This window comes from Homo sapiens, chromosome 11 (genome assembly GCF_000001405.40).
Source record: "Homo sapiens chromosome 11, GRCh38.p14 Primary Assembly".
NCBI classification, from domain to species: Eukaryota; Metazoa; Chordata; class Mammalia; order Primates; family Hominidae; genus Homo; species Homo sapiens.
The window spans coordinates 89,323,944-89,340,396 of record NC_000011.10 but is presented as its reverse complement, the minus strand read 5'-3'; the positions used below and the strand labels follow the sequence as shown (position 1 = coordinate 89,340,396).

Below are 16,453 nucleotides of genomic sequence, written 5' to 3'. Positions count from 1 at the left end.
ATTCATGAAGTATGTCGTATCCTTGAGTCAGTATATTGCATATTAAATTCATTTAGGTCTCGTGCTATCAGACGCTAGAATGTAAATGACTGATTTTTCTGTTGGTTTCTATTGGATATTTCTATTGGTTGCTTACTAATGAAAAGGAAACTTTAAAAAATATACGAATTCTTTAATATTTGTGTTTGCCATCCTAATCACTATCATGTTATTTTCATTTTAAAGGGATGACTGGAAACCATACAAGCTTAGAAGACTATACTTTATTTGGGTATGCAGAGATATCCAGTCCTTCCGTTGGTTTGCAGATTTACTCTGTATGTTGCATAACAAGGTAACATTAGGGTTGGTTCTAGTTTTGCAATTTTTCAAATTAAAAATGTTATAGCTTTTATATTACAAAAGCAATAAATGCTTGCCATAGAATAAACCATAGAAATTATGCAGATAAGTAGCAAGGAAAGAAATAAGTCTCTTAAACATAAAAAATCAGAGATAATATCTGTTAGCAATTAGACACACATCTTTTCAGATATGGATATTTGTGAGTATGCATATATATCTAATATATTTTAACATGGAAACATTCATTTCTATGTTTTAACATAGGGTGTTTCACATAGAAATGTATGCATATGGCTAAAGGTGATGAGGGAAGACAATGGAGGGAAATACCAGAAGGCTCCTGCTGTAACACCTTCCATCCTCTGTTCTGATAGCACTTACCCTTGATTGCCATCTTTAATACTGCAAATCACCAGACTTTTTGGTATACTATACAAATCTCAACAATCCCAAATTTTGTGTTTTATTTTTTGCAGAGATAAAGCAGGAATCTTTTCCTATCCTACGTGTAACATTTGACCTATTTATCTTTATTCACACTATACAAGTGATACACATATGTATCCTTGCTACAAATATTTCAAACAATTCTGATAAAGTAAAATCCTCTCTTACTACCTTCCCTACCTAATCTATGTAAACAGAGGTAACTCTTAAGTGTTCTATAAATTATATCATACTATTTATATTGTTTATGCAAATTCCTTTATTAATTGATTACTGTGTCTTGACTATTTTTTGGTATTAGTGCATCTAGAACTACTTCACTGTTTTTCCCTGTGCCAACAGTTAGAGATGATAGACCCACCAGATTCTTTTAGAGTATTTCATTGTATAGATTTATCTAGTTTACTGAACAATTCTCTAATGTTAGATACTTTTTTATTACAAAGAATGCTGAAATGGATATCATTATATATACCTCTTTGTGCATGCATTCACTCATTCAGTCAGTCATTCTATCATTCAGTGTATATTTATTAACTGCTTACTATCAATCTGAAACTATTCTAGGATCTGAAAACTCATCAGGTGGCAAAATAAAACCAAGTTTCTGATCTCATGTGGTTTACATTCTAAGGGGGCAAGATAGACAACAACCAATAAATACATCCAGCATCAGGTTCTGAGATTCAGGTTAGGACAAAGAAGGAAGGGAAAGTAGGAGTAAAGCAGCGTAAACAGTAGAGAGTGTGTTAATTTATATTGCATGTTCAAGAACAACCATCAAACAAAATGCTATAATGCCATTTGAGCAGACTTGACTGAAGTGAATGAGCAGACTAGACACATATTTTGGAGAAAAAAAATCAAGGTAGAGAAACCTAACTTCATAGGCAAGGGCTCTGAGGCAGCAGTATGCTTGGTGTCCTGAAAGAAGAGAAAGGAGATCTGTGTGGATGAAGCAGAGTAAGCAAGAGAAAGAATAGTAGGACAGGCAATTAGAGAGGTAGTGTCTGTGCTTTTCTGGGAAGAGGTGGATTACGTAAGTCCTCCAGACTTTATGCAAAATAAGTAAATAAAAATAAATGAAAACATTGGTTCTAGGTATGTACCTAGAAGAATTAAAAGCAGGCAATTGGACAGATATTTGTATGCCAATGCCCATAGAAGCATTATTCACAATAGCCAAAGGATGGAAACAACCCAAATATTCATCAATAGTTGAATGAACAAATTATGATATACACATACAATGCATAACTATTCAGCCTTAAAAAGGAAGGAAATTATGACACATAGTACATGGATGAACTTTGAAGATATAATGCTAAATAAATATGCCAGACACGAAAGCAAAAATATATTATGCTGTCACTTATAGGAGGTCCCTAGAGTAGTTTCATTTGCAGAGGCAGGAAGTAGAATAGTCTCTACATATGCATCCTTGCTAAAAATATTTCAAACAATTCAGATACAGTAAAATCCTCTCAGGTTGCCAAAGCCTTCGGGGAGGGGGAAGTGAGGGGTTGTTGTTCCATATTTTTTTCTAGACTATTTATTTTTGCAGGTATATTTTTGCCTCGTGCATTTTTGTACAAGAGAAACCAGAGCCCATTATTGAATAAGCGGAAGGAAGGAACAGGAAAAAGTGTCTATTTGTTTTGTTTTATATTTGCTAGCATGCATAAATTAAATCACTATTGTCTTTTTTTCTCAAGAAAATCATGTTCTTGATGAGTAAACTGGTACAATTTTGAGACTCTTAAGGAATAAAATAAGGAGTATTTCAGAAGGACTAATATTTGTACAGCATTCAGCATGCTAAATTTTGTATCTATAAAGATAACAGAAAATTATTCCCTACCACTACCACCATCAGAACTAATTAATACCAAGAGGCCAGATTATTAACGTTAGAATCTGTTATATATATTTCTGTGTATGTATGTGTGTGTGTATTCATTTTCTTATAGATATTGACTATGATAAGCTAGGTTGTGTTAAATTCTAGAATCAAGTATGTTAGAATAGGAGAAAATCTGAGTATACCCACAGAATTGTAATAAGTCTATTCCTTTTTCTGTCCTCTCAGTTTTGGCAAGAGAACAGACCTGACTATGTCAACATCCAGCTGTACCTCAGTCAAACAGATGGGATACAGGTATGTGGTTGATGTTATCGTAAATTAAACAAGCCTCTTGATAATAGATTTACTGTAGGAGCTGTGGTGGAAGAAAATTCCTGCAGGTGGTTCGAACAGAAGTTTCCTAGAGGAAAGCCTCCTTTGGAATATGTCCAGGAAAGTCATAGCTTGTCCTTGAAGTCAACCACATTATGCCTTCCATTTGTCCTTCTCACAGGGAGCTTTTGAGTCTGCCCCTCCCCTCTTCACTATCGCCTCAAGTTCTTCTAAAATTCAGACTACACATGAACAGCCTTATGATTTCTTTTTATTGAGGGAATGTTTTATGTGGAGAGAGAAGATGAGTTCGTATACAGTTAAGCTTATTTCTAGACAAAGAAAACTAAAAAATAATGATAGCCATCATGCATTATTTATTTACTGTTCTAGGAACTATGCTAATAATTTCACATATATTAGTTTATGTAATTAAAACAGAGTCAAGCAGTAAATGTTATTCCCATTTTGCAAGTGATGAAACTAATATTTGAAGACAACATTGAAGAGCTGGACTGGTGTATAAATCTAGGCATGAATGCATTCACAAATTTTATTTTAGTACTTTTTGTCATACATTTTCACAATACTTGGAATACAACATTTGAATGTTTTCAGTTACCTCAAAACTAATCTAACTCTAAGTTTTCCAGTCGTATTTCTACCCTACTTGGTATGTAAATAGTATTTCATTTTACCAGTCTCACGAAGTAAGTCAATATCACTTTTCCTCCTGGTATTGCGATAATTAAGGTATGAAGCATAATTTGCATCTGGTTCTCAGTTTGCCTGCCTGGGACTCAGATACTTCCTCCTTTCTCCGCAGTTCACTCTGACTCTTCACATTGATTTAGATCTAATGCTCTGTTAATTGCAAACAGGAGCCTGTTCACAGCCATTTGTTGATAGACCCAATTTTGGAGTTTTGCTGTCTTGAGCTGTCTTGTCTAGGATTATTTCCCCAAATTTACGATGACAATTTGTAGTATTTTACTTATATAATGAGCCAAATATGACAACTGTATTTGTGGTGCCAAAATACTTCAATGTTGAAGTCTATGTGCTGAGCCTTTTTGAGATTGACCAATTAGAATTCATTCTTTGTCTTACACTGCAGTTCTTTAAAGATGAAACAACTAACTGAAGTCTAAGAAAATTAGCCATTTGTCAGAATGGCATTCAAGGAGATTAGTTCTAACAATTGATTCATTTAAAAATCAAATTTTTCTACCTTTTTACCAGAATAGATTTTGTTTGTTTGTTTAAAAACAAACAAATGGAATTCAAGGAGATAATGAATTTTAAAAGAAAGAAGAAAGGAAATGATATTTTGAAATAATTGTACGTGATAGGTTGCCATTTGATACTTACATTCTTTATATCACAGCAATTTGGTGGGAAGCCGCAGCACCAGCAGAAATGATGTTAGAGAACTGGTTTACTTAACTAAATATCGAATAATGTAGTGCTTTCTTTTTGGCAGAAGATAATTGGAGAAAAATATCATGCACTGAATTCAAGACTGTTTATAGGACGTCCTCGGTGGAAACTTTTGTTTGATGAAATAGCAAAATATAACAGAGGGTAAGTACTATACCTCAAAAATTTGATATGTGGCTAATAAAATAATTAAAATATTTTCAAATAATTACATGAAGTTTGAAAATGAATTGGCAATGAGTTTACCAATGACAAATTCACTGAAACACTCTTTCACTATCAAAGGAAGAAGTAAGGCAGGTATCGTCCTACATTTTTGTAATTCCAAATAATTAAAGTTTGGCTTAGAAATAGTCTACAGTGTATTTATGAGCTAAACTCTCCTATCTGATTATAAATTTGTATAGGCCTATATTAAAAATGGGTATTCGCTCCCACAGCATATATCAGGTGATCCTAGGAAAAGTTTTCAAAATCATGTTTCCAAACAAAGAATTTTACAATTAGTTCTAACAATGAATTCATTTAAAAATCACATTTTTTGTACCTTTTTTTACCAGAATGAATGTTTTTTGTTTGTTTTTCAAAAAACTCTCTGCATTGTAATATGCAGTCTTTAAACCTAGAATATTTCCAAAAATATTATTTAGAAACTATAATTTTATAAAGAATCTTGTTCTTATGGACTACGTGTCTATGATCTGAAGAAATTACTAAGAAGGAAAGCTTCCATTTCAGGGCACAGACCAGCCAGCCCATTTGTCTTTTGTAAATTTATCATAGTGCAGAGCACTGATCTATAAGAATTCTAAGAAGATTTTGAAAACTATATAACCACTCACGTATTTTTAGGTTTACATCTAAATAGTTTCATCATAAGTTTACACAGTTGTAAAAGATGTGATTTCTAACATATTGCAGATATTGACATTTTGTAATTAACATAATTTCTTTAAACATATCCACTGGAATATAAATACAGCTAGATGATACTGTCATTTATTACAAAAATACATAAACTCTTCTTTTAGCAGTTGGATGTTTTACATCATTCTTTTTCTTTCATTTAAGTTGTATTTCTGTCCCATTAACCCATATAATTTTATTAAAATTCAATTTATTTTTACATTTGAACTAATCATATTTTTATTGCTAACCTAATCCTAATCATACTTCTGCAAAAAGAATGAACATAAATTAAATATTTCATTTTAAAATTGCCTGTAATCATAAGACTCTAGTGTTAATTTTTACTTCTGGCTTGAGTTATCATTTCAATTACTTTATATAGTTGAACACTTCATAATTTTTAAAATATATTTTTATAAACATCAAAAGGATATTTGATTATAAATGTACAGGCCAGCTTATTAAATGGATATTTTTTAAAAAATCCAATTTAGGAAATCATGGATGAATATTATTTATTGAAGAAATCACTGATTCAAGATGATCCCTATCTCTACCTTCAAAGATTTTGTTTTAGAAGTTACAGAATGGAGGCTGGGAAGCAAAATTTATGAAGGAATAACGTTACCCATGTGATTCAGATTACAGTCATGTTTAAAACACTTTTGTAGTATTACCCTTCCCTTGATGAAGTAGTTTTGGGATGAAGATGTAAGCATGATTTACAAAGCAGAACTTTTTTGTAATATTCAGAGTTGAAATTTAGAAAAAAATGATTTCAACCCACTTTTGGCTATCTTCCTTTCCCATCTTTCTCCAGTATCACCCATCTTAGATGTGATAATCTTGTCATACTCATCTGTCTCTTGCTATGCATTGCAGACATGTTCCTCTTTAGTGCCATTTACTGACTTCTGACAAGAATTTTTTTGTTGATTTTCACTGTATATTGCTGAAAACTGATAGTTCTTTGGCTGAATTCAGAAACCAAATCCCTAAAGAGCAGATTATTTACAGGGAAATAGATTGAGGCTGTTGGTTCCTACAGTTAGTTCTCAAGAAGTCTCATTTGTTAGGCTGTTTGTGTTTTAGAGCGATTTGTGTGTGTGTGTATATATTTGGTAGTTTGTTCTTTTTCTGGAAACAATGGAAAACTGGTTTAAGAAGAGCAAATGTGCACCATCTGCTGTTGACATTTTGTACAACACTTTGACTTTGTGTATTGGTTCTCAGGCAGGTGCCTGAAATGTGTTTACATTTTCTGAAGGATTTTTATGTAGCATACTTAGGAAAAGAATGGATCAACATTCTTCAGGTCTCATTAACTGGACAAAGGCACTGTGTAAATGGATGGTTTCATTTACAATGTAGCATTTTGATTAACCTCATGCACACAAATTGCTGAAAACATATAGAGATAACAGTAGGGAAGACAGGCATATAAGTTAAGATTTTAAAATATCATGGGTTGGGCAACAGTTTTTATCTTTCAGAAAGTGATTACTTATTAAACCAGTAGGCATTAGGTTAGTATACTATGTAGAATACAAATTTAAATTGCATTAAACCCTTCTGGCCCAGAGGTAATGACTGGTAACTCTTCGTTATGTATTCTTACAGAAGCTTTTGTAAGTTTGTGTGAGAGTGTGTATGTGTACTTATGAAAGTATATGTAAACATATGTTTGTATGTGTGTGTGTGTGATATATATTTAAAATCAAAACCTTAGTTTTTTAACAAAAATTGAATCTATGACAAGTAATTCTTCAGCTTACTTTGTTGTTTTTGTTGTTTTATTTTTTTCTTGGCTTTGCTAGGAAGAACGAGCTAACTTTTTAATGATGTGCTTCTTTTGATCATGGACAATTTCTGTATAATTGTACCTCAAAGTATTCTAGAGTATGAATAACATGACTCCTACTACCCTAATTCTTTATATTTAGATAACTTATATTTCTTTACAGTTAAAAATAGTGCTGTGGTAATTATCTTTGTACATACTTTCTCATGTGAGAGTATTGCAGTAGATTAAGATCTTTGAGTTGGAATTGCTGGCTCAACAGGTATACACATTTAGGTACTGCTCTACAAAAACTAAAAGTCAGAATTAATTTACTTTCCACATGTGTGTGACAGTCATTCCTTTCTTTTGTTGCTTTTTTTAAATTCAGAAATTGAATTATATGATGGTATTATATGATCATGGAAAGTGAAGGAGCTTTGGGAGTCAACCTGCCTTCATTTTTATTTTACAAATGAAGAAGCTAGGACCTCAAAATATAATGATTTATCAAAAGCCATGGTTAATGAGCCAGAATGCAGATATGAACACAAGTCTCCTGACTGCAAGTTCATTGTGCTTTACAGCAGGGCATAGTCAGCTTGTCACAGATAAAGAGTGGCAATCTTATTTTACCATGTTCCCCTTAGATGGGAGGTAGGGAGGTGCTGCAAGAAATTCCCATGTTTACTATGAATGCTGTAGCAGAATGTTAACTGTAACACTAAAAGAATTAATAACTAATTATTTTGAAATAGAGATATTCTAAATATTACATTGTAAACCATTTAGTATTTAATAAACTATTAGAAAATTATTTATTATATCTAACCCAAACTTGGTTTCCTATTGTTTGTAATTAAAATGTATATCCTGTTTTGAGCTGTGAAGTTTATTCATGATGCAAAGAGAGAAAGAAAATTTGAACTTTGTTTGGCTTTTTGAGTAGAGAATTACTACTCTGGGATTGGGTGAAATCTTTGAGATTATATCTTTATTTTACTGCCTTGTAGTGTTTTCAAACAATACAATTTAAGAATAACTAGGTTTAGTCTCTCACATTTACTCCTGTGACCCTGAGTCAAGTGACTTCTCCTGGATCTGTAATACAACGAGTGAATAAGCTCTCCGGGGTGATTAAGTTCTCATTATGTAAGATCCTGCGTTTACAAATCTACATGAAAAAGCAAGTATGAACATTTATAGAACTAGTTTCTAATGTCTACCCCCAAACCACATTTTCTTAGTACCCGAATCTACCTCCACTCATTCCATCAAAGGTCTAGTAGACAGGTCTCCAGATAATTGTTGGATTGCAGCATTCTAATGCAAATTTAGTACAAATGAATTGCAAAGATTCCTTGTAGAATTCGAAAAAGAAAAAAAAAAAAGTAAGATTTCATTAAGTTAGTGAGAGTGACATTAGGGAATCCTCAAATCGCACACACACGGAGAGGATATCAGAGAGTTAAGCTAGTTAATAATTGCAAAAGAAAATGTTAAAGAAACACAAAAATCATAACATCCTGTGTGATTTAAAAATAATGATTTTTATTATTATTTATTTTATAATTAATACTTGATTTTATTATCAAGTATTTAACAAGGGCCTTTAGGAAATCTGAAAGACTTGCCAAACTAACTCTATAATTGCCCTGTCAAAGCCAAGCAAGAAAATAATGGTATCTTATTGCCATCATATGGCGTTGACAGAAAGTTTATACAAAGAAATAAAATGACTCAATTCTCTTTTCATTTTAATGGAAGCTACATTATGTTTCAATAGTAATTTAAATTTTATTAAGTATAACATCATTTATTTTCATATATTTTTATTTCTTTTGCTCACTTTGGGTTTAATTAGCTTTTTTTAATTTTTACTAGTTTCTTAAAATGGAAACATAGGTCATTGATTTCAGACTGTTTTTCTTAATAAAAGTGTTTAATGCTATACATTTTCCTCTAAACACCACTTTTGCTAAAACTTATACATTTTGATTTGTTTTCATTTTCATCTCGTTCAAATATTTTTTATTTTTTATGTTTTTTCTTTGACCCATGGGTTATTTTAAAATGTTGTCTAATTTCCAAAAATGAGGAAATTTTCCAGATATCTTTTTGTTCTTAATTTCTAGTTCAATTGGGATTTGATCTAAAAATGAACTCCTTGTGATTCTAATCCCTTAAAATGTATTGACACCTGTTTTATTGCCCAGGATATGTTCAATCTTGGTGAATGTTCCATATGCACTTAAAAAGAATTTGTATTCCATTATTGTTAGATAGAACATTCTACAAATGCCAATTAGTTCCAATAGGTTGATAGTGATGTTCAAGTTTTCAATATGCTTACTGAATTTCTGTCTGCTTGTATTAATTACTCAGAGTATTGAAATAATTAACTATAATTATGAATTTATCTGTCTTTACAGTTCCATCAGTGTTTGCTTTATGTTGAAGCTTTTTATTTTCAGTGTTTAAATCATTTACATTTAATTTAATGAAAATACAGTTGGCTTTAAATCTAGCAGTTCACCATTGCTTTGTACTTATCTATTTGTTCTTTCTTTGTTTTATTTTCTTTTTTTACCTTGATTTGGGTTGAATTTTTTTTTATAATTCCACTTTTTTCTCTAATGTTAGCCATGCCTCTGTATTTTTTTTTTTTTTTCTTTTTAGTAATTGCTTTAGGTTGTTGGTTCCTGAACTGGATTCCTTGGACCAGCATCAATTGGAATCTTGTTAGAAAAGCAAATTCTTGAGCCCTATCCAAGATCTGCCAAATCAGAAACTAGGGATGGGGAGACCTAGCTATTTGTGTTCTATGAAGTCTCTAAAATGATTCTGATGAAGCCAAAATTAAAGAAACATTGTTCTAAGTTTACAGTATACATCATTAGCTTATCACAGCCTATTTTATTTTTTATGTTTATGTTTATGTTTATTTTTTAGAGACAGAGTATTGCTCTGTTGCTCAGGCCAGAGTGCAGTGACATGATCTAGACTCACTGCAACCTTGAATTCCTGGGCTCAAGAGCTCTTCCCACCTCAGTTTCCTGAGTAGCTGGAACTACAGTTGCATACCACCATGCTTAGCTAATTTTTAAAATTTTTTGTAGGAATGGGATCTCACTCTGTTGGCCAGGCTGGTACTTTGAATAATATTGTAACACTTCATGTACTTCCATTTCTTCCATCCGTTTTGCTATTTTTGCATTCATCTTACATATACATATGTTATAGTTCTCATTATTAGTATTTTTTGTTTTAGACATCTAGCATATATTAAAAATATTAGAAATTAGACAAAATAAATATTTTATATTTACTGACAGATTTTACTATTTTGGTGTCCTTCTTTCCTTTGGTTGATTCAAATTTCTATCTAATTTTATTTTCCTACTTCTTGAGTAGTTTTCTTTAGTGTCCTTTATAGTGCTGGTTTGCTGACAATTCTTTCAGGTTTTGTTTGTATACAGTTTTTATTCCATCTTCATTTCTGAAAAAATATTTTTGTTTGGCATCAAATTTGCTTGTTATATAATAGTTGATGTCTTGATTTATATTTTAGTACTTTGAAGATATCACTTCATTGCCTTCTGACTTGCATAGTTTATGACAAAAAGTTCACTTTCATTCTTATATTTCATTCTTATATTTTCTGTTGATGATTTGTAATGTGTCTTTTCTCCCAGTCTGTTTGGTTTTATGTTTTTCTTTTTGTCACTCGTTTTTAGTATTTTATTATCAATTGCCTAGGTATAGTTTCCTTTGTGTTTATTCTCCTTGAGATTTAATGAGATCTTTTATTTTTTTTTTTTCTTCTCCCTTGGTCTTCTCTCATGTTGGACTGCAGTTACATGTATTTTTGACTAGTTGTTTTGACTAGTTGGTATTGTCCCACAGGCCACTTATGCTCTGTTCTTTTTTTTTTTTTTTTTTTCAGTTTTTTTCTCTGTGGGCTTCAATTTGGATAATTTCTAATGCTTTTTCTTCAAGTTTACTTTTTCTTCAGCAATGCCTGTTCTTTTATTAACTCATCTAGTATATTTATCATTTCAAATATTGCATTCCATCTCTAGAATTTATGTTTGGGCCTTAAAAAATATTCCATTTATCATCTCATCATGATTATGCTTTTCTTTAAATATATGAAGCCTGTGTATCATCACTGCTTCAATGACCACGTCTGTCATCTCTATCATTCTGAGCCTGTTTCTGTTGAATGCCCTTTCTCCTTGTATTAGTTTGCTAGGGCTACCATAGCAATATACCACAGACTGGTGGATTAAACAACAGCAATTTATTTTTTCATAGTTCTGGGGGCTGGAAGTTTAAGGTCAAAATGCAGGCAGGACTGGTTTCCTGAGATCTCTCTCCTTGACTTGCAGATGGCTATGTTCTTGATGCCTCTTCAGGTGGCTTTTTCTCTGTGCATGCACTTCCCTGGTGTCTCTTTTTGTGTTCAAATTACTTCTTATAAGTACACCATTCAGATTGGATTAGGGCCTACCCTAGTACCTTCATTTTAACTTAAATTGCCTCCTTTAAAGCCTTATCTCCAAATGCAGTCACATCCTGAAGCACTGAGGATTAGAACTTCAACCTACGGGCTTTGGATGGGCAGACTTCAGCCCATAACACTCTTAGTTATAGTTCATACTTTCTTGCTTTTTGAATTCCTGGTACTTTTTTGTTGATTTCTGTACATTTTAAAGTTTAAATGTTAGTTGCCAAATTTTGATTTATTTATTTTAATAGTGTTGGACTTGTTCTGACATGCAGTTAAGTTACTCGGGTTCAGTTTGATCTTTACAAGTCTCACTTTTAAGATTTGTTAGTGGAGGTCCAGAGCAGCCTTCAGTCCAAGGCTAATTTTACCAATATCCCCTCTACTCCTTGCAAATAAGGTGATACGTTTCTGAGAATACAACCCATTGCCCTGTATTTATAGGACTTTCTATTCTGGTGTGTGTGAATACAAATTATTTGCAGTCCTGTGTAAACTCTGGCAATTATTTGTCCTGTTGATCTCTGATATCTCTTTACTCACATTCATGAAGTTTCTTATCATATATGAACTGATTATTAATCAAAGACTTGAGGATTCTCCTCTACCAATCTCCGAGGCGTCTTTCTGTGGATCTCCCTTCCCTTCCATATTCTGCTCCACAAATTCCAGCTGTTTGGGCCTTAATGTAACTCCGTTCTTTGTCTCCTCAGTGTAGTCACCAATCTTTGCTGGAGTTTCCCCTGTCTGCTGCAGCCAGCAGATTGCCTCCAGGCAATAAGCAAAGAGAGTGACGGTGCTTAGCTTGTTTTCTTCCCTTTTCTCAGGGATCATAGTTCCATGCTACCTATTATTCAGTGTCCGAAAATACTTATTTCATCTATTTTGTTTGCTTTTTTTCTAGATTTTTAATGTAAAAGGGTAGATCTACTCCCTATTACCCCATCATGGCTGCAAGTAAAATTCTATTTTCACAGCTTTTAGTTTCATTTTTCAAGGTAAAAAGTTTTAATAACTTTTTTTCAGTATTTACTATTAATTTTTGGTACCAATTTTAATGGATTCAATGTCTTTTGTTCAGTGCGAGTTATTCTGACATAATTAAGACATACTGGATTTTCCCAAGATATGAGATGAAATATTAATAATTTTGACATCCTAGGAAGAATCAAATACAAATCAAACTTGGGAAGAAGGTCAATTTGAAATATTATTTATTTCCTGGGATTTATTTAGTCTATTTGTTAGAGATACGTATTATTTAACTACTAAAATTTTATATTAGAGAATAATAAAAACTGCTTGAAATTTGTTACCATTATTGCAGTGCATAAATAAAAAAGAACTAGATGAATATGTTTTTTGTTTTACTGTGAATATAAATTAGCCACTTAAAATTATTATTTCAAATTGGTAATATCTTTTTTCTTTCCTTCCTTATTCATCGCTGCTTTTGCAAATCCGTGTAGGAATTTTAGATAACTATGTGTAAAGTGTCTAATAAAAGAAGAATGTACATAGTTCAGTGTGGACTGAACATCTATTCAGAAGTCACCTGTTTAGCAATTGACATCTATCAATTGCTGCTCTTAATGAGGTTGCTGGTTTCACCAATGACAAGTCATGAAAAGACTAAGGCAAACTGATAAATCTCTACCTGATAATAAGCATATTTGTGCTCATAGGTACATTCTTTGAATTATCCTAAATTCTAGAATGAAAAGTATGAGGTAAATAAAATATTTTCCTGGTTGACATTTACATTTGGAAATAATTAGAAAATTGTTTTCAATATGTAAAATAGCAAGAAATCAACTTTGTTAATACTTTAAACCATGCTCATAAAGCATACTTCTTGTCATGTTCTGCCTAATTTTACACCTGATTTTCCATTTTCTCTGCTCTTGTTCTAGAAAAACAGTTGGTGTTTTCTGTTGTGGACCCAATTCACTATCCAAGACTCTTCATAAACTGAGTAACCAGAACAACTCATATGGGACAAGATTTGAATACAATAAAGAGTCTTTCAGCTGAAAACTTTTGCCATGAAGCAGGACTCTAAAGAAGGAATGAGTGCAATTTCTAAGACTTTGAAACTCAGCGGAATCAATCAGCTGTGTTATGCCAAAGAATAGTAAGGTTTTCTTATTTATGATTATTTAAAATGGAAATGTGAGAATGTGGCAAGATGACCGTCACATTACATGTTTAATCTGGAAACCAAAGAGACCCTGAAGAATATTTGATGTGATGATTCACTTTTCAGTTCTCAAATTAAAAGAAAACTGTTAGATGCACACTGTTGATTTTCATGGTGGATTCAAGAACTCCCTAGTGAGGAGCTGAACTTGCTCAATCTAAGGCTGATTGTCGTGTTCCTCTTTAAATTGTTTTTGGTTGAACAAATGCAAGATTGAACAAAATTAAAAATTCATTGAAGCTGAAATTCCATTTTCTGTGTTGTGTATAAACAGAGTAGCTTTAATTTGCAAGCACTCCAGGCAAATATATTAGATGTTTGAAAACACAGCACAAGACTCTGTATTGATACGGGTACTTTGTGTCAATATCTAATCGTCTCCACTACTTATGCTAATACCTCTATTTGATATCTGAAGACTATATGCTAACTGAACCTTCCTCAAATGTTGTTATAGTATCTATTTTTATATATTTTTTTCTTTTTATTCCTCTCTCTAGGGAAATATGCCTTCCCTTAGCATGCATTAGACATAATGATTTAATAGGTCCCTTTCATCTTCATTTAAATCTATCACTATTGCATGGTAATGAAAATATTCCTACTATAAATTATAAAGGGATATATATATATGGATATATATATGTATATACACATATATATATACACACACACACACATATATATATATATATATATATATACACATATACTAATAACTTTTCCCTTTTTTCAGCATTTTTGTCTCTATTATTATTATTGTTTTTTTCCCAGGTAGGGTTTGTCTTAGGCTGTAGCCTCTAAGGATAGTTAGTTAATTTGCACTTTGAGACCAAAGGACATCATGTGTGTCAGTAGGGACTGAATATAAGATTTATCTCCTTTGCCACACATTGGTTTATGATGGAGACATTGAAAGTCTAGTCATATTCCTGAACAGTAAAACCTGTATTTTACCTTTTAAGTAAGAGGAAATATGATATTCTTATTCAAACTTAAGTTTAGAATCCAGAATATTACTGTCGCACTTTTTGGTATCCTGAGTTTCCATAGGGAACTATTGGGTTTAAAGTCACCGTTGGAACTACACTGTGTGATCTTATAAACTTATGTTCCCTGGCTATCATATTCTTGGCTCAGAACAATATTTCCCATTACTATCTTAAGAATTAAGGCATTCATGGCTCACGCCTGTAATCCCGGCACTTTGGGAGGCCAAGGCAGGTGGATCACGAGGTCAGAGTTCAAGACCAGCCTGACCAAGTTGGTGAAACCCCATCGCTACTAAAAATACAAATATTAGGCGGGTGTGGTGGCGGGTGCCTATAATCCCAACTACTCGGGAGACTGAGGCAAAGAATCGCTTGAACCCGGTGGGCGGAGGTTGCAGTGAGCCAAGATTGCACCACTGCACTCCAGCCTGGGTGACAGAGCAAGATTCCATCTCAAAAAAAAAAAAAAAAAAAAAAAAAAAGAATTAAAGCATTCATACAGTTTAGTGATTTTGTTTAGTAGTCGGCTATCAATTGCTATCAAATATAACACTGCTGAAATCAGCAGTGTGACTTACCTTGCCATTGTTAAAATGTTACATAAAACATAACATGATAGATGCTAAGGCCTTTTTTTGCTATAATTCACCAATAGCAATCAAGCATGCTAACCCATACTGAATGATATTTACTTGTAGATATTTCTTCCTTTCCTTGAAATTCTCCTTTCTATGGAAAGAAGATGAACCCAAAAAAGTGATAGGAAATGTGGAATGCTCATGCAGATTTAGCTCTGAAGGCATATTTAATAACTAGTATGTCTTGACAACAGTCTTTAGATTAAAAAGAATTTTCATGGAAACATTTAACAGAAAGAACTAGTAAAAAGACACTTTGAGTTAGTCCAGGCTTAATGTGCAATACTGACTCTATACTGATCATAATTTATTTATGCGATCATATTAATAGACCTAATTTCATTAAAACAGGTAGAAGATTTTTCAAAAGAAAGATGATGTTTCAAAGCTGGTCTGCCATTCTAGATGAGCCTCCTTGCTTATTTAAGTTCCAGTAGGTGTTCAAATGTTAAATGTTAAACATAGGTCATCTTTGCTTCTGCAGGGCTTCATCTTGCATGTTTAAGAGAACTTTGTTTTATTTTGAGGGATTATTTCTCTGGGGATCATTCTTATAATACAAGCCTTAAATCACTAATTTTAGTAGCAATAAATGTTAAAATTGAAATGGTGTCCTTGAAGTTTCTATAAGCTCACTATAACTTTGGAACAAATAAAGCAGCAACATTTGTTCACAAGATGATGCAAGTCTAGGAAACACACTCTGCTTGTCAGGAATTAGCATTTGCACCGGCCGTGGTGGCTCACACCTGTAATCCCAGCACTTTGGGAGGCCGAGGCGGGTAGATCACTTGAGGTCAGGAGTTGAAGACCAACCTGGCCAACATGGTGAAACCCCATCTCTACTAAAAATACAAAAATTAGCCAGACATGGTGGTGGGTGCCTATAGTCCCAGCTACTCGGGAGGCTGAGGCATGAGAATCACTTGAACCGGGGAGGCAAGGCCGAGGTTGCAGTGAGCCGAGATTGCGCCACTGCACTCCAACCCTGCCCTGGAAACAGAGTGAGACTCTGT

The 16,453-nt window shown here is 32.9% G+C and overlaps 1 protein-coding gene across 7 annotated transcripts in view; it reads left to right on the top strand.

Moving 5' to 3' along the window:
- The window catches only part of NOX4 (NADPH oxidase 4), a 265,205-nt gene extending 249,161 nt beyond the window's left edge, over nucleotides 1-16,044 (top strand). For all 7 annotated transcript variants that reach the window (NM_001143837.2, NM_001300995.1, NM_001291926.2 and 4 more), the window contains 4 exon segments: nucleotides 226-334; nucleotides 2,882-2,950; nucleotides 4,452-4,552; nucleotides 13,521-16,044. In NM_001143837.2, coding sequence (NP_001137309.2) covers nucleotides 226-334; nucleotides 2,882-2,950; nucleotides 4,452-4,552; nucleotides 13,521-13,641 — 400 coding nt within the window. In that variant the 3' untranslated portion in view covers nucleotides 13,642-16,044.
- The last annotated feature ends 409 nt before the right edge of the window (nucleotides 16,045-16,453 follow it).